General features: G+C 43.3%; 1 protein-coding gene across 2 annotated transcripts in view, besides 1 other annotated feature; it reads right to left on the bottom strand.

The window, feature by feature from the left end:
- The window catches only part of TECPR2 (tectonin beta-propeller repeat containing 2), a 139,537-nt gene that overhangs the window by 85,148 nt on the left and 33,677 nt on the right, over positions 1 to 20,712 (bottom strand). For both annotated transcript variants that reach the window (NM_014844.5, NM_001172631.3), the window contains exons 3-5: positions 9,864 to 9,992; positions 8,711 to 8,842; positions 2,537 to 2,694 (exon numbers count right to left, since the gene is read on the bottom strand). In NM_014844.5, coding sequence (NP_055659.2) covers positions 2,537 to 2,694; positions 8,711 to 8,842; positions 9,864 to 9,992 — 419 coding nt within the window. The remainder of the gene's footprint in view (positions 1 to 2,536; positions 2,695 to 8,710; positions 8,843 to 9,863; positions 9,993 to 20,712) is intronic.
- Positions 5,531 to 6,520: an enhancer, noted in NCBI's record as "OCT4-NANOG-H3K27ac hESC enhancer chr14:102877147-102878136 (GRCh37/hg19 assembly coordinates)". NCBI's record gives its function as "activates a minimal SCP1, AML or CMV promoter by ChIP-STARR-seq in naive and primed H9 embryonic stem cells {active_cell/tissue: H9 hESC(naive and primed)}" and the evidence as "EXISTENCE:reporter gene assay evidence [ECO:0000049][PMID:30033119]".

Raw genomic sequence — 20,712 nt, 5'->3', positions numbered from 1 at the left:
CTAAACAGTTGTGAGGGAAGCACTGCTTCCAGGGATAGACGCACACAATAGTCTACAGCAGAAAGCAAGTCTTTAAGACACAGATGTTAAAAACATTTCCTCTTATTCTGTTAGCCCTCATTTCCCCAAGGCTCAGTAAAATCTCTCTCCTTCTGAGAAGGGGACACATTTATTTGTTTCTGCATCCTAAAACGTTCCTGGGGAGCAGAGCACGCTTTCAATCAATGTTCCCTAAAGACTTGACTGCACAGACGCACTAGGAGAGGTTTACAGAAACTGCCTGGGTCTCCACACAAGAGGTTAAAGGGCCAGGTTTGTTTTTTGTTTTTTTGTTTTCGATTTTTTTGAGATGAAGTCTCGCTCTGTCACCCAGGCTGGAGTGCGGTGGTGCAGTCTCAGCTCACTGCAACCTTTGTCTCCCCGGTTCAAGCGATTCTCCTGCCTCAGCCTCCTGAGTAGCTGGGATTACAGGCGCCTGCTACCCTGCCTGGCAAACTTTTGTGTTTTTAGTAGAGAGGAGGTTTCACCATGTTGGCCAGGCTGTTCTTGAACTCCTGACCTCAAGTGACCCGCCCACCTTGGCCTCCCAAAGTGTTGGGATTACAGGCGTGAGCCACTGTGTCCGGCCAAGGGCCAGGTTTTAAGAGAGATTGTTGGGAATAGGACCCACATGTAAAGTAATTGGTTTTCAATGCCTCTCTTTACACTCTGCCTTCCTTCCAAGACAGTGCAGTAAAACATTGACAGACGAACCAGGATAAAATGCCAGAGGAGTAGGATACTGGCAGAGAGAGCAGCAGAACTAAGATCTGCAGGGCCATAAATTCCACTGAGTTCTCCAGGGACCGAAAGGGAGACTGCAGATATAAAAAGGCCAGATTGTTGATGGGATTAAGAAGGTGTTCAGCAGGCCGCATGTGGTGGCTCACACCTGTAATCCCAGCACTTTGGGAGGCCAAGGCAGGCGGATCACCTGAGGTCGGGAGTTTGAGACCAGCCTGACCAACATGGTGAAACCCTGTCTCTACTAAAAATACAAAATTAGCCGGGTGTGGTGGCACATGCCTGTAATCTCAGCTACTCAGGAGGCTGAGGCAGGAGAATCGCTTGAACCCAGGAGGCAGATGTTGCAGTGAGCCAAGATCGCACCACTGCACTCCAGCCTGGGCAAGAAGAGCAAAACTCTGTCTCAAACAAAAAAGAAAAAGAAAAAGAAAAAAGAAGGTGTTCAGCATCGAAAATAGAAGAAAGGGGAGGTTTGAGAGCGTCTTTTAACAGCCGGAGGGCTGCCATGCAGAAAAGAGAATAAACTTGTGTGTTGCCGCAAAGCCCAGAACACAGAATAACGGGCAGTGACTACGACCACAGGGGCTGGCTCCGCCTCACCCGACTCTCCAGGACGGCCTGTCCCCAACGGCACCACCAGCCGCAGGGCCTCATCAACGCCTGCCAATCTCACCATGTTTCCCAGTCCCTGCTGTCACTCTCCACAGGGCCAGCCTCAAGCCCTCCCCACATGCCGTGACCATCAGCTGCCCTGCCCCTGATTCTATGCAGGCAAACAGTGCCCTTTCCTGGGAGACACAAGACGGGAACTCTTCCAGCTCCCATCGGCCAATCGACAATCCATGACTGTAGACTCATCAACGCATGATCTGTACTAATGCCGCCCTCTGCTTCCCACCCCCACGTTGGCCCCAGTCTACCTCCTCCTTGGCATAGGAGGGGTCAGCTCCACTGCTCTACCTACCCCTCCTCACCCCATCCCCACGCAAACTCGCTGCAGAGTCCTACAAGAGTGCTTTACAGGCTAGGGTGGGATGATGAATTACAGGTTCCCCAGGTGTTCCAGTTGTCTTTTCCCACACGGCTGGTATGGCTGGTGGACTTCTCGATGCCCTTCCTCCACATCACTGGTCAAAGGAGGAATGATCTCTCAACCTGGAACCCATGCCTTCAGGATGTCTTCCCTGACCCTTCACCTGGACAAAAGTGTGTCTAAACTCACACAGCATCCTGTGTATTTTGGTCCACAGCAGCTGACACAGTGGTCAACAAGTGTTCTATCTGTGTTTCCATTTCCACAACGGAGGGCTCAGATCTGCCGTGTTTACCATGTCACTGCTGAGCCTGCCACAGTGCACAGGGGTGCATGGTAAACACGTGCTGAATAACGAGTGAGCCCCACAACCCTGACCCCTCACCAGGGCTGTGTGGAGGAGGTGGCTCCACAAGGAACAGATAGACCAGGCCACCCCTGAGGCTTCTCTGCGCTGACTGTGGCACCCTGAGAGGCAGAGTGGCTGTGTGTGCAGGCTCCTACAGCTCTGCGACAAGAAGAACACACTCTTCTTGTCTGCCTCTGGGAGGAGAAATCCTAAGCAGGCACAGGGCCCCACCAGGAACCCCAGGCTTAGAGGCGCTGTGGGTTTGCAAACAGGAGGTCTCCGGCAAACAGGAGACCTAAGAAACCCTAAAGCACCTTCTACAACAAGGCCCAGCATTTAGGCCAAACTGGCAAACTTGTGAAACTTACCTTTTCCTTGGTTGTGTTCCAATTTGCCTTACAGACTTTTCTTCAGTGTAAAAGAGCAGACTTCTTTGCAGAGTAGAGACCAGCAGCACTTTCTGGCTATAATCCAGCTGCACAATGGAAGATGGCTCCTCCAACACCAGCTGGGAGTTACAGAGCCCCTGGCAGAGAAAGTCTGGTTACACCTCACATCAGCGCCAGGCTAAAGAATGGACCTCCCTTAGGACAAGTCAGTGTCCTTCCCGCTAGCTGTGCTTAGGTCAGCTTGCACCTTACTTAACGCATGCTTTCACTCTCTGCAGATTCACTCTCAACCCACCATAGCGAGATTATTTGACGGATGGGAAAAGAGTCCATACTAACATCTCCCTCATGCTGCATCCAGTTTGACAGGAAACATTTTAAAATCTGCATAATTTTTAAAAACATGTCCTCAGTAGATACATTCTTTACTGTGCACCATAGCAGGCTCAGGGATGATGCAGTAAACATGCAGAGAGTTCAAAGAAGAATCCATAAAGATCTAAACAGAAATCTGTTGCACTGTGTGTATTGCTTATTCTATTATAAAACAATGGAATGGAACATTCTATAAAATTATTGCGACAATAATCAGCTCTGTAAGTTCATATTATAGTCTCCCCTCACAAAGGGTTCAAAGCAGCTTTGAGGACATTATATCCTTGCCAACTGAAAGGGTAATAGAAAACAGAAGGTTAGAAGAAATTAAATGATATTAAATATATAAAATGCTATTAACATAAAATGATACTTTACAAGACCAGCCTGGGCAACATTGTGAGATCATGTCTCTACAAAAAAATTTTTTTTATTAGCCAGGCATGTTGGCACGTGCCTATGGTCCCCGCTACTTGGGAGGCTGAGACAGAAGGATCATTTGAGCCCAGGAGTTCAGGTTACAGTGAGTTGTGATCACACCACTGCACTCTAGCCCAGGTAGCAGAGTGAGACTCTGTCTTTAAAAAAGAAAAAAAAACCATATTTTATATATAAACACAAAATAAAATTCTAGAAGGCATACGACTGCTAACACAAAGCATATTTCATTGTATAAAAAATCTGATTCTGTAAGTTACTTTTACAGAAAAGTGTCATCAGGCCGGGTGCAGTGGCTCACACTTGTAATCCCTATATTTTGGTAGGCCGAGGTGGGTGGATCGTTTGAGGTCAGGAGATCGAGACCAGCCTGGCCAACATGGTGAAACCTCGTCTCTACTAAAAATACAAAATTTAGCTGGGCGAGGTGGCACATGCCTGTAATCCCAGCTACTTGGGAGGCTGCGGCAGGAGAATCACTTGAACCCAGAGGCAAGGGTTGCAGTGAGCCAAGATCGCACCACTGCACTCCAGCCTGGGCAACACAGTGAGACTCTGTCTCAAAAAATATATATATATATACATTATATATATATGAAATATATGTATATTTCATATATATGAAATCCAATATATATATGAAAAGTTTCATCAATTATTTCAGAAATACTGCTGTAACATCACTGACATTTTGTGAGGGAAGTAGGGGGCAGTGATCAGATTTGTTGGTAAAACTTACAGTAAATTTCGTCCCTTTTTGGGTATACAATTCTATGAATTTTGACAAATTTATAGTCATGTAACCAACACCAAAATCAAGATAAAGAAATTTCCATTACATGAAAATGTTGCAAACCTTTTTTTTGAGACAGGTTCTGGCTCTTGGCCTAGGCTGGAGTGTAGTGGTGCAATCTCAGCTCACTGCAATCTCCACCTCCAAGGCTCAACTGATCCTCCAACCTCAGCCTCCAGAGTAGCTGGGATTACAGGTGTGCATCACCATACCTGGCTAATTTTTATGTTTTTTGGTAGAAATGGGGTTTTGCCATGTTGCCCAGACTGGTCTCAAATTCCTGGGCTCAAGTGATCATCCTGCCTTGGCCTCCCAAAGTGCTGGGATTACGGGTGTGAGCCACCACACCTGGCCAGAGGATAGGTACTTTTGTATTCTCCCTTCTGCTGCACACTGAAATACACTCAGTGGTTCTCTCAAGGAAACCACTTGTGCAACTGTTGCAGCTATGAGCTGAGCCAGCTGCTTTTTTCACAAAACACCATTTTTATTTGAAATGCTGTAATTATTCAAATTTGGGTATTTAGCAGACATTTTCTCAAAAAAAAAAAAAAGCCTGTCACTTCAAGGAAAACAAGTAATGGTATTTGTTGCTCTCACACAAAGATTAGCAATCTGAAAACTTGTATCTGTCCCTGTGAACTTGACATGATTCCTTATAGCTAGACTTTCCCGATTACAATGATGTTGATGTTAATGAAGGTATTTTTTTGATATTGTATTAGAAAATTTATCAGCTGGCACGGTGGCTCAAACCTGTAATCCAAGAACTTTGGAAGACTGTGGTGAGCAGATTGCTTGAGCCCAGATGTTCAAGACCAGCCTGTGCAACATGGCGAAGCCCTGTCTCTATAAAAATACAAAAAAATCAGCTGGGCATGGTGGTGTGCACCCATAGTCCCAGCTACTCGGGAGGCCAAGGTGGGGGAATCACCTGAACCTGGGAAGTCAAAGCTGCAGTGAGCCGTGATTGCACCACTGTGCACCAGCCTGGGTGAGAGGAGTAAGACCATGTCTCAAAAAAAAAAAAAAAAAAAAAAAAAGTGTCAACATTTGGAAGATCTGCATCACTCTGTGAATAGTATTTTCTAAGTGACCAATACATAATGTTACAAAATCCAACATGGGTAAAGTAGATTTTAATGTAACAGAGTAGGAAAAATTCATCCATGTGGTTTCAGATTCCACATTTTTACTAACCTTTAAAGAAACTACCATTTGTCATTTGTCACCGTAACCTTTAAAGCAACTACCATTTGCTTTATGAGGTAGTCATATGAGGATATTATTAAAGAATGTCCACAACTATCTGAAAAGGCTATCAAAATACTCCTCCCATTTCCAACTACATGTCTGTGTAAAGCCAGTTTTTCTTTATACACTTCAATCAAAACAATGTATGGCAACAGATTGAATGCAGAATCCAGCCATCTTCTTTTTTTTTTTTTTTTTTTTTTTTTTTTTTTTGAGCAACATGGCTGTTTATTTCACCTGGGTGCAGGCAGGCTGAGTCCGAAAAGAGAGTCAGCAGAGGGAGATAGGGGTGGGGCCGTTTTATAGGATTTGGGAAGGTAATGGAAAATTACAGTCAAAGGGGGTTGTTCTCTGGTGGACAGGGGCAGGGGTCGCAAGGTGCTCAGTGGGGGTGCTTTTTGAGCCAGGATGAGCCAGGAAAAGGACTTTCACAAGGTAATGTCATCACTTAAAGCAAGGACAGGCCATTTACACTTCTTTTGTGGTGGAATGTCATCAGTTAAGGCGGGGCAGGGCATATTCACTTCTTTTGTGATTCTTCAGTTACTTCAGGCCATCTGGGCGTATACGTACGTGGAAGTCACAGGGGATGTGATGGCTTGGCTTGGGCTCAGAGGCCTGACATTCCTGCCTTCTTATATTAATAAGAAAAATAAAACAAAATGGTGTTGAAATGTTGGGGCGGCAAAAATTTTTGGGGGGTGGTATGGAGAGAGAATGGGCGATGTTTCTCAGGGCTGCTTCAAGCAGGATTAGGGGCGGCGTGGGAACATAGAGTGGGAGAGATTAAGCTGAAGGGAGGTCTTGTGGTAAGGGGTGATATCGTGGGGATGTTAGAAGAAACATTTGTCATATAGAATGATTGATGATGGCCTGGATATGGTTTTGGATGAATTGAGAAACTAAATGGAATAACAGAAGGAGAAAAACAGGTATAAAAGGTCTAAGAATTGGGACGACTCAGGATATCTGATTAGAGAGTGCCTAAGGAGATTCAGCACAGTCCTGCCAGCAAAGATTATTTATTTACTTCAAGAGTTAAGAGTGGCAGTTTGGGGATAGCACCAGGAGATATCAGCTGCGATGGCTTGGAAAAACAGTGTAAACCGGCAGTGTAAACCAGAGCAGGGCATGTATGAGTTAGTTGAGAATGGTGAATAGGAATATGACTAGACAGAAGATAGTAGGGATGACAAGTTTTTTTTTTTTGAGGGGGGGCACAGTCTAAGTTGGTCTAGTGTCCGGAATGAGACTGGGGCCTAACAAAAAGGAGTATCCATACAGGAGCTCAAATGGGCTGTACCCTGTAGCATTCCGAGGACAGGCCTGAATTCTGAGAAGGGAAAGTGGTAAAAGTATTGTCCAGTCCTTTTTAAGTTGGTGGCTGAGCTTGGTGAGGTGTGTTTTTATTTTTTTATTTTTTATTTTTTATTTTTTTTTTTAATTTATTTTTTTATTGATAATTCTTGGGTGTTTCTCACAGAGGGGGATTTGGCAGGGTCATGGGACAATAGTGGAGGGAAGGTCAGCAGATAAACAAGTGAACAAAGGTCTCTGGTTTTCCTAGGCAGAGGACCCTGCGGCCTTCCGCAGTGTTTGTGTCCCTGATTACTTGAGATTAGGGAGAATCCAGCCATCTTCTATTAAGCCAGATAATAAAGAAATTTGTAAAAATATAAATCAATGCCACTCACTCTTCTCACCTGTTTTGAAAATAGAGCTATAGAGATATTTTCACAAAATATGTCACTTATGTGCAGATGTTATGGATTTATTATTTCAAAGTAAAATATTTTTAAATTTCAGCCAGGCGCAGTGGCTCACGCCTGTAATCCCAGCACTTTGGGAGGCTGAGGTGGGAGATTTCAATCACAGGGTCAGGAGATTGAAACCATCCTGGCTAAAACGGTGAAACACTATCTCTACAAAAAATACAAAAAAGTAGTCAGACGTGGTGGCAGGTGCCTGTAGTCCCAGCTACTCGGGAGGCTGAGGCATGAGAATCCCTTGAACCCGGGAGGCGGAGGTTGCAGTGAGCCGAGATCGCGCCACTGCACTCCAGCCTGGGCAACAGAGCGAGACTCCATCTCAAAAAAATATGTATATTTTTAAATTTCTCAGTTGTAACTTCTAACATGGTGTACTTGGTAGAGATAACCCATATGAACAAAAATGCTTTGGGGTCCTCTTTCTAAGAGTGTAAAGGGATCCTGTGACTACAAAGCTTGAGAACTACTACTAGAGAATATTTGTACTAGGTCAGTCTTGGATCAGAGGGACTGAAAGTCATGCAGCTAATAATTGCTGAATTCTTGGCTGGGCGTGGTGGCTCACGCCTGTAATCCCAGCACTTTGGAAGGCCGAGGCAGGCAGATCATCTAAGGTCAGGAGTTCAAGACCAGCCTGACCAACATGGTAAAACTCCGTCTCTACAAAAATACAAAAATTAGTCGGGCATGATGGCAGGTCCCTGTAATCCCAGCTACTTGCGAGGCTGAGGTGGCAGAATCGCTTGAACCCGGGATATGGAGGTTGTCACAAGCCGAGATTGGGCCACTGCACTCCAGCCTGGGCGACAAGAGCGAGACTGTCTCAAAAAAAAAAAAAATTGCTGAATTCCTATAGTGCTCTAGGAATGAAGGCTACAAATAAGAAAAAGAAAGGACTGTGCCACCAAGGAGTTCAGTTTGGTTGCAGACACATGACAAAACAAATAAAACCCAGCAGATCATCAAGCCATACGTGCAGTGGAAAAGGCACGGGCGTCGAAGCAGAAGCACAGTTTGAAAGCAAGCTCTGTGAGGTGCAAGCCTGCACCCCTGGACTAGTTCCTGGATCTCTTGGCACTCCAGTTTCTTCATCTTCACCATACTGCCACCTAACCTCCTCTGCCACTTCCTGTCACATGAGGTCATCTCACACAGGCCAGGTGGCTGGCAGAGTCCTCCATCCATTGAAATCACTGACTTGTCCACAGTTAGGATTCAGAAGTGCTTGGCATCACTCCTACTAACCTTTCAAGGAAGTAGGAATGATAATAGCTTCTTTTTCAAGTAAAAGTAATACACAACAGTGGAATGAAAAAAGTGAATGTTCCAGTAGGCCAACTCCTTAGTCATAGAAGTGGAAGCTTATAAAACATAAGTCTATAAAAGTAAATGTTACAAATAACAATTGAGATTATAAAGGGATGATGATCAAGAATACAAGTTGACTAAAAATACAAGTTATAAATATAGTTTTTCCAAATGTAAGAAGGTAAGAGCCAACAGTATTTCTGAAAATAATTTTACCTGGTCTAGATCCAGAGAAGAATAAACAATTTTGCCTTTGTCATCTCCAGAGAACAATTTCATTCCATTGGGGCTCCAAGCCAGAGCTGTAATGCTATTTTTGTGAATACCAGTGACATCAAATCTCCGAAGCTATGAACAAGGGATAAAAATATACACAAGAAAAAAAAAGGATAAATGCTGTGAGCTGGGGCTACATGGAAAAGGTATACAATCACTCCTAGTTAGGGAAGAGCTGGTTTTCCCAATCTCGTTTTCCAAGCAGAACCCTGCACAAAGTTCCATCTGTCTAGTCACCTTCAAAACCCACAGAGAGCATACCTTGAGAATATTAAGCAAAAATGAAATGACCCACATGTACTTTATGCCAAGTGTCCAACCCAGCACAAAAATGTTCTCCAATTATAAACAGCACAGTGTTAAGCTTCTCTGAGCATTTTTTTTTTTTTTGAGACAGAGTCTCGCTCCGTCAGGCTGGAGTGCAGTAGCGTGGTACAATCTCAGCTCACTGTGACCTCTGCCTCCCGGGTTCAAGTGATTCTCCTGCCTCAGCCTCCCGAGTAGCTGGGACTACAGGCACGCACCACCACGCCCAGCTAATTTTTGTATTTTTTTTCTTTTTTTAGATGGAGTCTCCCTCTGTCGCCCAGGCTGGAGTGCAGTGGCGTGATCTCCGCTCACTGCAAGCTCCGTCTTCCGGGTTCACGCCATTCTCCTGCCTCAGCCTCCCTAGTAGCTGGGACTACAGGCACCCGCCACCACACCCGGCTAATTTTTTGTATTTTTTAGTAGAGATGGAGTTTCACTGTGTTAGTCAGGATGGTCTTGATCTCCTGACCTCGTGATCTGCCTGCCTCGGCCTCCCAAAGTGCTGGGATTACAGGCATGAGCCACTGCACCCGGCCAAATTTTGTATTTTTAGTAGAGATGGGGTTTCACCATGTTGGCCAGGATGGTCTTGATCTCTTGACCTCGTGATCAGCCCGCCTTGGCCTTCCAAAGTACTGGGATTACAGGCATGAGCCTGGGCAGAGAAAGTCGTGCCCGGCTTTCTCTGAGCATAAACTTTCTAAGCAGATGAGGATTTCTAATTTTAAAAATCCATGAGGAATGTGCCAAGAAGTTAACACGTGTTAAGATCATGAGTACTCACCTGTTTATTTCTCCCTGGCAATGAAGATACAAGTTGAAAAACTGCAACCCTGCCAGAGGCTGTGCCTGCTGCCACCAGGTCATCAAAGCAGCTCAGCAGCTTCACCACAGTGATAGATTCCGTCTTCCCCTGGGGAAACGTTGAAAACAAATGAATCTGTAACTATGCAGGCTTTGAAAATGTAAAACAAGGAGGACATTACTAAAGGAGTGAAAAACTTCATCAGGCTGCAGTCCATACATATTCTTGATTGAAAAGGTATACAAGTCAGAAATTACATCTGTTGAAAAAACAAAAACAAAAACAGGGCTGGGCGTGGTGGATCACGCCTGTAATCCCAGCACTTTGGGAGGCCAAGGCAAGCAGATCACCTGAGGTCAGGAGTTCGAGACCAGCCTGGCCAACATGGCGAAACCCCGTCTCTACTAAAAACACAAAAATTAGCTGGGCGTGGTGGCAGATGCCTGTAATCCCAGCTATTTGGGAGGCTGAGGCAGGAAGAATCACTTGAACCCAGGAGGCGGAGGTTGCAGTGAGCCGAGATCGTGCCATTGCATCCAGCCTGGGCGACAGAGCAAGACTCTGTCTCAAAAAACAAGAAACAACAACAACAAAAAAACCAAAAAACAAATATACCTAGGTAGGAGGGCAGTGGTGCAATCACAGTTCACTGCAGCCTCAACCTCCCAGGCTCAAGCGATCCTCGCACCTCAGCCTCCCAAGTAGCTGGGACTACAGACGTGTGCCCCACACCCAGGTAATTTTAATTTTTTTTTGTAGAGACAAGGTCTCACTATATTGCCCAGGCTGGTCTCAATCTCCTGGGCACAAGGGATCTTCCTGCCTGGGCCTCTCAAAGTGCTGGGATTACAGATGTGAGCCACTGCACCCTGCCCTCATGCCCCAATTTTAATTTTTTTTTGAGATGGAATCTCACTCTATCACCAGGCTGGAGTGCAGTGGCGCCACCTTGGCTCACTGCAACCTCCACCTCCTGGGTTCAAGCGATTCTCCTGCCTCAGCCTACTGAGTAGCTGGGACCACAGGCGCCCGCCACCACGCCCCGCTTTTTTTGTATTTTTAGTAGAGACGGGGTTTCACCGTGTTAGGCAGGATGGTCTCGATCTCCTGACCTCGTGATCTGCCCGCCTTGGCCTCCCAAAGTGCTGGGATTACAGGTGTGGGCCACCATGCCCAGCCCTCATCCCCCAATTTTTTAATGTTAAAATACACATAACGTAAAATTACCAGTATCCCTTTTTAAAGTATACATTTCAGTGGTATTCAATACATTCATAATGCTCTTCAATCATCACCATTATCCATCTCCACGAATATTTAATCTTGTAAAACTGAAACTCTATTAAACAATAATTCCCCATTCATCCCTCCCCCCAGCCCCTGGCAACTACCATTCTACTTTCCGTCTTTATGATTTTGACTACTCTTTTTTTTTTAATCTCCTCAGATTCCTTTTACCGTGATTTTGAATACTCTAAATACCTCATACAAATGGAACCATACAGTATTTGCCTTTTTTCTGACTGGCTTATCTCCTTAACACAGTATCTTCAAGGTTCATCCGTGTTATAGCACATATCAGAACTCCTTCCTTTTTAAGGCTTACTCATATTCTCTTGTATGTACATACTACATTTTGTTTATCCATTCATCCGTTGATAGACGCACATGGATTGCTTCCCCATTTTAACTACTGTGAATAAGGCTCCTATGAATATGAGTGTACAAACATCTCTTTGAGATACTGCTTTCAATTATCTTGGGTACATACTGTACTCAGGACTGAATTTTGGTATCATATGGTAATTCTATTTTTAATTTTTTTGAGCAACCACCATACTGTTTTCTAGTATTGGCTGCATCATCTCATTCCTGTGAACAATGCACCAGGGTTCCCATTTCTCACATCCTTACCAACCCTTGTTATTTCCTTTTTTTCTTTTTTTTGACAGTAGCCATCCTAATGGGTGTGGGGTATAGTTTTGACATGCATGCCCTAATAATTAGTGATGGTCATTTTTCATATGCTTATTGGTCATTTGTTTACCTTCTCTGGGGAAACATCTATTCAAGTCCTTTGCCCATTTTTGAATTGGGTTTTTTCATTGTTGAGTTTTTTGTCTGTTTGTTTCTTTTTGAGATGGAGCCTCGCTCTGTTGCCCAGGCTGGAGTGCAATGGTGCAACCTTGGCTCACTGCAACCTCCACCTCCCGGGTTCAAGTGATTCTCATGCCTCAGCCTCCAGAGTAGCTGGGACTACAGGCATGCATCACCACACCTGGCTAATTTTTTATATTTTTAGTAGAGACAGAGTTTCCCCATGTTGGCCCCGCTAGTCTCAAACTCCTGGCCTCAAGTGATCCGCCTGCCTGGGCCTCCCAAGTGCTGGGATTACAGGTGTGAGCCACCAGGCCCCGGCCATTTTGAGTTAATTTTTGAATGTAGTATTAGGTAAGGGTCCAACTTCATTCTTTTGCATGTGAATATCCAGTTTCCCCTATACCATTTGTTGAAAAGACTGTCCTTTCCCTGTGGAACAATCTTCACGTCCTTATCAAAAATCACTTGACTGGGCCAGGTACGGTGGCTCACACCTGTAATCCCAGCACTTTGGGAGGCTGATGCAGGCGAATCACTTGAGGTCAAGAGTTCCAGACCAGCCTGGCTAACACGAAATCCTGTCTCTACTAAAAATACACAAATTAGCCAGGTGTGGTGCCACACGCCTGTAGTCCCAGCTACTCGGGAGGCTGAGGCAGGAGCATCATTTGAACCTAGGAGGTGGAGGTTGCAGTGAGCCGAGATCACGCCATTGCACTGCAGCCTGGGCAACAGAGTGACAGTCTGTCTCAAAAAAAAAAAAAAATTTCACTTGACTATATAAGAGGGTTTATTTCTGGGCTATTGATTTCATCGGTCTCTATGTCTATTTTTATGTATCATGCTGTTCTCTTCTTTTTCTTATTTCTTCATACCACAGCCAAGTCCAATACACTGTTTCAATGACTGCATTTTTGCAGTTAAGTTTTAAGTTCAGGAAGTTTGAGATCTCCAGCTTTGTTCTTTTTCAGGTTTGTTGGGGCTTTTCAGGTTCTCCTGAGATCCCATATGAATTTTAGAATAAATTTTTATATTCTAAAACTCCCAAGCCAAAAAATGGCCTTGGGAGTTTGATAGAAATTGTATTGAATTAACTTATAAATTACTTTGGGTGGTATGGACAGCTTAACAATATTAAGTCAGGCTAGTCGGGGTGATTCATGCCTGTAATCCCACAATTTTGGGAGGCCAAGGCAGGAGGATCACTTGAGCCCAGGAGTTCAAGACCAGCCTGAGCAACATAGTGAGACCCCATCTCTACAAAAAATTAAAAAAAAAAAAAAAGCCGGGCATAGTTGTGCATGCCTGTAGTCCTAGCTACTTGGGAGTCTGAGGTGGGAGGATCACTTGAGCCTAGGAGATTGAGGCTGCAGTGAGCTGTGATTGTGCCACTGCACTCCAGCCTAGGTGACAGAGCAAGACCCTGTCTCCAAAAACCAAACACACAATGTTAAGTCTTCCAATTTCTCAACATACAATGTGTTTCTATTTACCTATGTCTTTAATTTCTTTCAGCAATGTTTCATGTTTCATTGTATGAGTCTTTCACCTCCTTATTCTTTTTAATGCCATTTTAAGTGGAATTTTCCTCTTAATTTCTTTTTCATATTATTCATTGTTGGTGTTTAGAAATGCAACTGATTTTTGTGCATTGACTTTGTATGCTGCTACTATGTCAGTTTCATGTATTAGTTCAAACAATTTTTTGTGGAATCTTTAGGGTTTCTACATACAAGATCATGTCATCTGCAAACAGAGATACTTTTACTTCTTCCTTCCCAATTTTGATGCCTCTTAATTTCTTTTTCTTGGCTAATGACTCTGGCTAAAATTTCCAGCACTGTGTTGAACTGAAGTGACAAAAGCAGGCATTTTGCCTTGTTTCTGATCTTAGAGGAAAAGCTTTCCGTTTTTTACCATTAAGTATAATTGTTCACTGTTTTTCATATATGGCTTTTATTATGTTGGGGTAGTTTCTATTCCCAGTTTGTTGAGTGTTTTTACCATAAAAGGGTGTTGAATTTTGTCAAGTGCTTTTTATGGACCAGTGGAGTGACCATGTGATTTTGTCCCTCATTTTGTTAAAACAGCATATTAGGTAACTGACTTTCATATGTTGAACCATCCTTGCATTCCAGAAATATATCCCACTTTGGTCATGGTGTATAATCCTTTTAATATGCTGCTGAATTTACTTGCTAGTATTTTCTTGAAGATTTTTGCATCAATGTTCATGAGGGATACTGATGTGTATTTTTCTTGTGGTTATCTTTTCTAGTTTTGATATCAGCATAATTCTGGCCTCATAGAGTGAATTCAGAAGTATTCCCTCCTCTTCAACTGTTTGGAAAAATTTGAGAAGAAATAGTGTTAGTTCTTCTTTAAATGCTTGGTTAAATTCACTGGTGAAGGCTTCGTGTCTAGGGCTTTTCTTTACAAGGAGATATTTGATTATTGATTCTATCCTCTTACTAATTATAGATCTACTCAGGTATTCTATTTTTTCACGGTTTAGTCTCAGTAGGTTTTGTGTTTCTAGGGGTTTGTCCATTTCATCTAGGTTATCCAATCTGTTGGTATTCAACAGATCACCATCCTGTCATAATCCTTTTTGTTTCTGTTGAATCAATAGTAAGGGTCTACTTTGTTTCTGGTTTTAATCATTTGTGTCTTCTCTCATTTCTTCTTGATCCATCTGGCTAAAGGTTTGTCAATTCTGTTTACCTTTACAAAAATTCAACTTTTGGTTTCACTGATTTTCTCTATTGTTTTCTAGTCTCTATTTCCTTTACCTCTGTTCTAATCTTATTATTTCCTTCCTTCTGCTAGTTTTGAGTTTAGTTTTTCTTCCTTTTCTAGTTCCTTAAATGGTAAAGTTTAGGTTGTTGATTTGAGATTTTTCTTATTTTTTAATGTATATATTTAAAGCTATAAATTTCTCCTTTAGCACTGTTTTCACTGTCCCATAAATTTTGGTATGTGTGTTTTCATTGTCAATCATCTTTAAGTATTTTTAAATTTCTCTTGTAATTTCTTTATTTACCCTTTGGTTGACTAAGAGTATATGGTTAATTGCACAAATTTGTGGATTCTCCAATTTTCCTTCTGTTACTGATTTCTAACTTTATCCTGTTGTGGTTGCAATAAGAACATACTTTGTATATCTTTTAAAATCTATTGACACTAATTTGTGGCTTAACATATAGTCTATCCTGGAAAACATCCCATCTACATTTGAGAAAATGTATGCTATTGTTATTGGGTAGAGTGTTCTATAAATGTCTGTTAAATCTAGTTGGTTTATCATGTAAAGTTTCTTTATTTTTCTATCCATTATTGATAGTGGGATATTAAAGCTTCCAACTTTTATTGTAGAACTGTCTATTTCTTCCTGCAATTCTGTAACTCTTTTTGTCTGATAGTAGAATAGCCACCCCGATCCCTTTTCATTACTATTTGCATGGAATATCTTTTTCTATCCTTTCACCAGCAACATTTGGATTTAAAGTGAGTCTCTCTTTTTTTTTTTTTTTTTTTTTTTGAGACGGAGTCTCGCTCTTTTGCACAGGCTGGAGTACAGTGGTGCGATCTCGGCTCACTGCAAGCTCTGCCTCCCGGGTTCACGCCATTCTCCTGCCTCAGCCTCCTGAGTAGCTGGGACTACAGGCACCCACCACCAAGCATGGCTAATTTTTTTGTATTTTTTAATAGAGACAGGGTTCCACTTTTCAGTAGAGACAGGGTTCCATCATATTAACCAGGATGGTCTCGATCTCCTGACCTTGTCATCTGCTGGCCTCGGCCTCCCAAACTGCTGGGATTACAGGCTTGAGCCACTGCACCTGGCCGTGAGTCTCTTATATATAGCATATAGTAGGATTGTTTTTTGTTTTTTTTTTTTTTTTTGAGATGGAGTTTTGCTCTTGTTGCCCAGGCTGGAGTGCAATGGTGCAATCTCAGCTCACTACAACCTCTGTCACCCAGGTTCAAGCATTTCTCCTGCCTCAGCCTCCTGGGTAGCTGGGATTACAGGCATGCACCACTACACCCAGCTAATGTTTGTATTTTTAGTAGAGTTTGGGTTTCACCATGTTACCCAGGCTGGTCTCGAACTCCTGACCTCAGGTGATCCACCCACCTTGGCCTCCCAAAGTGCTGGGATTACAGGTGTGAGCCACTGCGTCCAGCCCAGATTGGTTTTAAAAACCATTTTGACAATCTTTGTCTTTTGATTGGAGAGTTTAATCCATTTACATTTAAGGTAATTAACCAATAAACAGGGACTTATTTCTATCATTTTGTTCCTTTTTTTTTGCGACGAGTCTCACTCTGTTGCCCAGGCTGGAGTGCAATGGTGTGACCTTGGCTCACTGCAACCTCTGTCTCCTGGGTTCAACCAATTCTCTGCTTCAGCCTCCCGGGTGGCTGGGATTACAGGTCCCCGCCACCATGCCTGGCTAATTTTTCTGTTTTTTTAGTAGAGACGGGGTTACACCATCTTGGCCAGGCTAGTCTTGAACTCCTGACCTCGTGATCCACCCGCCTCGGCCTCCCAAAGTGCTGGGGTTATAGGCGTGAGCCACCGCGCCTGGCTTGTCATTTTGTTTTGTATATGCCTTAAGGTTTTTGTCCCTAGTTTCCTGCATTACTGTCTACTCCTGTGTTTAGTTGATTTTTGGGGGTACATTAAAATATTTAAATTCCTTTCTCATGTCCTTTTGTGTATATTCTACAGTGATTTTCTCTGTCATTACCATGAGGATTACATTTAACATCCTAAAGTTATAACACTAATTTAAATTTCTATCAGCTTAATTTCAGTAACACAGAAAAGCTCCACTCCATTACAGCTGGGTCCTCAACCTTTTTGCTTACTGATATCACAAAATTATACCTTTATAAACTGTGTGCCCCAAACCATAAAGTAAATAATTATTTTAAATGCTTTAGAAATTATTTTACCAAAAAAATTATTTTAAATTATGTAGAAAACAAAATGTGGGCTGGGCACGGTGGCTCACGCCTATAATCCCAGCACTTTGGGAGGCCAAGGCGGGCAGATCAACTGAGGTCGGAGTTTAACACCAGCCCGGCCAACATGGAGAAACCCCGTCTCTACTAAAAATACAAAAATTAGCTGGGTGTGGTGGCACACACCTGTAATCCCAGCTACTTGGGAGGCTGAGGCACAAGAATCACTTGAACCCGGGAGGCAGATGTTGCAGTGAGCCCATATCACACCACTGTACTCCAGCCTGGGTGACAGAGCAAGACACCATCTAAAAAAAAAAAAAAAAGAAAAGAAAAGAAAATGTGGATTCACAAACCAACATTACAATACTACTAGCTTTTAGACTAATTTTAAAAAAGCATTTTAGTCTCTTAAATCATGTAGAACACAAAAATGCAATTATAAACCATTGTTACAGTAATATTAGCTTTTAAAATTGCACATATCCTTCACTTTTGAGATCTTCATTTCTTTTTCTTTTTTTTTTTTCTTCATTTCTTTTTTTGAGACGGAGTCTTGCTCTGTCACCAGGCTGGAGCGCAGTGGCCAGATCTCAGTTCGCTACAACCTCCACCTCCTGGGTTCAAGCGATTCTCCTGCCTCAGCCTCCTTGAGTAGCTGGGGACTACAGGCACAAGCCACCACACTTAGGTAATTCTTGTATTTTTAGTAGAGATGGGGTTTCACCATGTTGGCCAAGATGGTCTCCATCTCTTGACCTCATGATCCACCCACCTCGGCCTCCCAAAGTGATGGGATTACAGGCATGAGCCACCGTGCCCGGCCAAGATCTTCATTTCTTTATATGGCTTTGAGTAACTGTTTAATATCCTTTAATTTCCCTCTGCAGGACTCACTTGAGTATTTCTTGCGGGGCAGGTCTTGTGGCTAATGAACTCCCTCCATTTTTGTTCACCTGGGAATATCTTAATTTCTTTTTCATTTCTGAAGGACAGTTTTGCTGGGTATTAGATGGTTAGTTGACAGGTCTTCTTTCTTTTTAACACTCTGAATATATCAGCCCACTGTATTCTTGCCTCCAAACTTTGTTTTTTTGTTTTGTTTTGTTTTTTGAGACAGATTCTCACTCTGTCATCCAGGCTGGAGTGCAGTGTCCTGATCTCAGCTCACTGCAACCTCTGCCTCCCAGATTCAAGCGATTCTTGTGCCTCAGGCACCCAGATGGCTGGGATTACAGGCACATACGCCACCATCCCTGGCTAATTTTTGTATTTTTAGAGACAGAGTTTCGCCATGTTGGCCAGGCTGGTCTCAAACTCCTGGCCTCAAGAGATCCACCTGCCTCAGCCTCCCAAAGTGCTGGGATTATGGATGTGAGCCACTGCACCTGACCCCTCCAAAGTTTTTGATGAGAAATCTGCTTATAATCTTATTGGGGGTCCCTTGTATATGAGGAGGCATTTCTCTCCTCTCTGAAGTTTGTTTTTTTAGTCAGCTTCCTCAGGTTGAATCCTTTTTTGAGACAGGGTCTCATTCGGTAGGCCAGGCTGGAGTGCAGTGCCTCAATCATAGCTCACTGCAGCCTCGACCTTCCAGGCTCAAGCAATTTTCCCACCTTAGCCTCCCGAGGACCTGAGACTACAGGCAAATGCCACCTCGCCCGGCTAATTTTTTTGATTTTTAGTAGAGATGAGGTCTTACTATATTGCCCAGGCTGAGCTTGAACTCAAGTGATCCTCCTGCCTTGTCCTCCCAAAGTGCTGGGATTACAGGTGTGAGCCACTGAATCCAGCCCAAAGGTTCTTTGGTTTTCGCTTTTGGGAGTTTGATTGTAATGTGTCTTGGTGTGGGTGTCCTTGAGTTCATCTTACTTGGAGGTCGTTTAACTTCCTAGATGTTTATATCCATGTCTCTCGTCAAATCTGGGAAGCTTCCAGATACTATTTCTTCAAATAATCTCTCTCCCCCTTTCATTTCTTTCTATAACTCCCAGAAAACATGTTAGTCTCTTTGATGATGACCCTTAGGCTCTGCTCATGTTTCTTCAAACATTTTTCTGTTTGTCAGACTTGATAATTTTAATATCTTATCTTCAAATTCACTGATTCTTTCATCTGCCTACTCAAATCTGCCTTTGAATCCCTCCAGTGAATTTCTCATTTCAGTTATTGTATTTTTCAGTTCCAGAATTATTTTCAGTTTCTTTTTAGGGTTTCTATCTCTTTATTTATATTTACATTTTATTTGTACACTGTTTTCCTTTTTCTTTTCTTTCTTTTTTCTTTTTTTTTTTTTTTTTTTGAGACAGAATCTGTCTCTGTTGCCCAGGCTGGAGTGCAGTGGCACGATCTTGGCTCAGTGCAACCTCCATCTCCCGGGTACAAGTGATTCTCCTGCCTCAGCCTCCTGAGTAGCTGAGACTACATGCTTGTGCCACCACGCCCAGCTAATTTTTGTCTTATTTACTAGCGATGACCCGGGTTTCAACATGTTGGCCAGGCTGGTCTTGAACTCCTGGACTCAACTGATCTGCCTCTCAAAATGCTGGGATTACAGGCGTAAGCCACCACACCCAGCCTTCATACGCTGTTTTACCTTTTTCCACATCTTATTTATTTATTTATTTAGAGAAGGAGTCTCACTCTGTTACCCAGGCTGGAGTGCAATGGCACAATCTCGGCTCACTGCAACCTCTGCCTCCCAGGTTCAAGCGATTCTCTTGCCTCAGCCTCCCAAGTAGCTGAGATTACCAGTGCACACCACCACACCCAGCTAGTTTTTGTATTTTTAGTAGAGACAGGGTATCCCCATGTTGGCCAGGCTGGTCTCAAACTCCTGACCTCAAGTGATCCACCTGCCTTGGCCTCCCCAAGTGCTGGGTTTACAGGCATGAGCTACCGCCCCCAGCGCCACATCTTCTTTAGTTGTTTGCATATCTTTAAGACAGTTGTTTTAAAATCTTTTTCTAGTAGGTCTACTATGTGGTCTCACAGTTTCAGTTGTTTTTTTTTTCCTTGGAAGAGCATACTTTCCTGTTTCTTTGTGTGCCTCGTGATTTGTTTTGTTGAAAACTGAACATTTGAATCTAATACTGTGGTAATTCAGAAAATCAGATCCTCCCCTTTTCAAGTTTACTGGGTTTTGTTATTCTGTGTGTGGATGTGTGTGTGATTCTTTTTGTTTACTGTAGGCCGTCTGTGCCAAAGATCAGTCTTGGGTATAAACTCAGGGTCTTCTCAGGTCTTTACTGTGCCTATACCTTTTCCTAGGCATGCACAGTCACTTCTTAATTCTCCCCCTTATATGCAGTTGCTTTTCAATGTCATATTCTCTAACATCTGGCTCCCAAATGGGAAAAAATAAAAGTGAAGCAAGGGAGCAGGACCATTAGCTCTTTAAATCCCCTGGAAGTCTTGTTAATTGGAGGGGGAAGAACTTGCAATAATGAGGAGGTGTAACGACAATGGCCACCCATCTCTTTGTCTGCACCTCTACGATCAGAAGCAGCAATCAGCAGTCAGAGCACAGACCCCAAATATTTAGAGGACAAGATGCTTTTTGCCTATTCTGGCTCCCACGCTGTGTGCAAGCTCTAGGAACACCCGCGTAGCCGCCTTCCACAGAACTGGGGTTGGGGAGTGCATAGCTGCTACTGTGCTAAGAGTTGAAACTGACCAAAATTAACCACAGTTTGCCATCCCAGCAAGAATGTGTAAACCTCAGTAGACTTCCGAGTTCCAAAATAGTTAGATCAGA

This window comes from Homo sapiens, chromosome 14, assembly GCF_000001405.40.
Source record: "Homo sapiens chromosome 14, GRCh38.p14 Primary Assembly".
Lineage (NCBI taxonomy): Eukaryota > Metazoa > Chordata > Mammalia > Primates > Hominidae > Homo > Homo sapiens.
The sequence above is the reverse complement of the archived record's forward strand: the minus strand, read 5'-3'. Positions and strand labels throughout refer to the sequence as shown.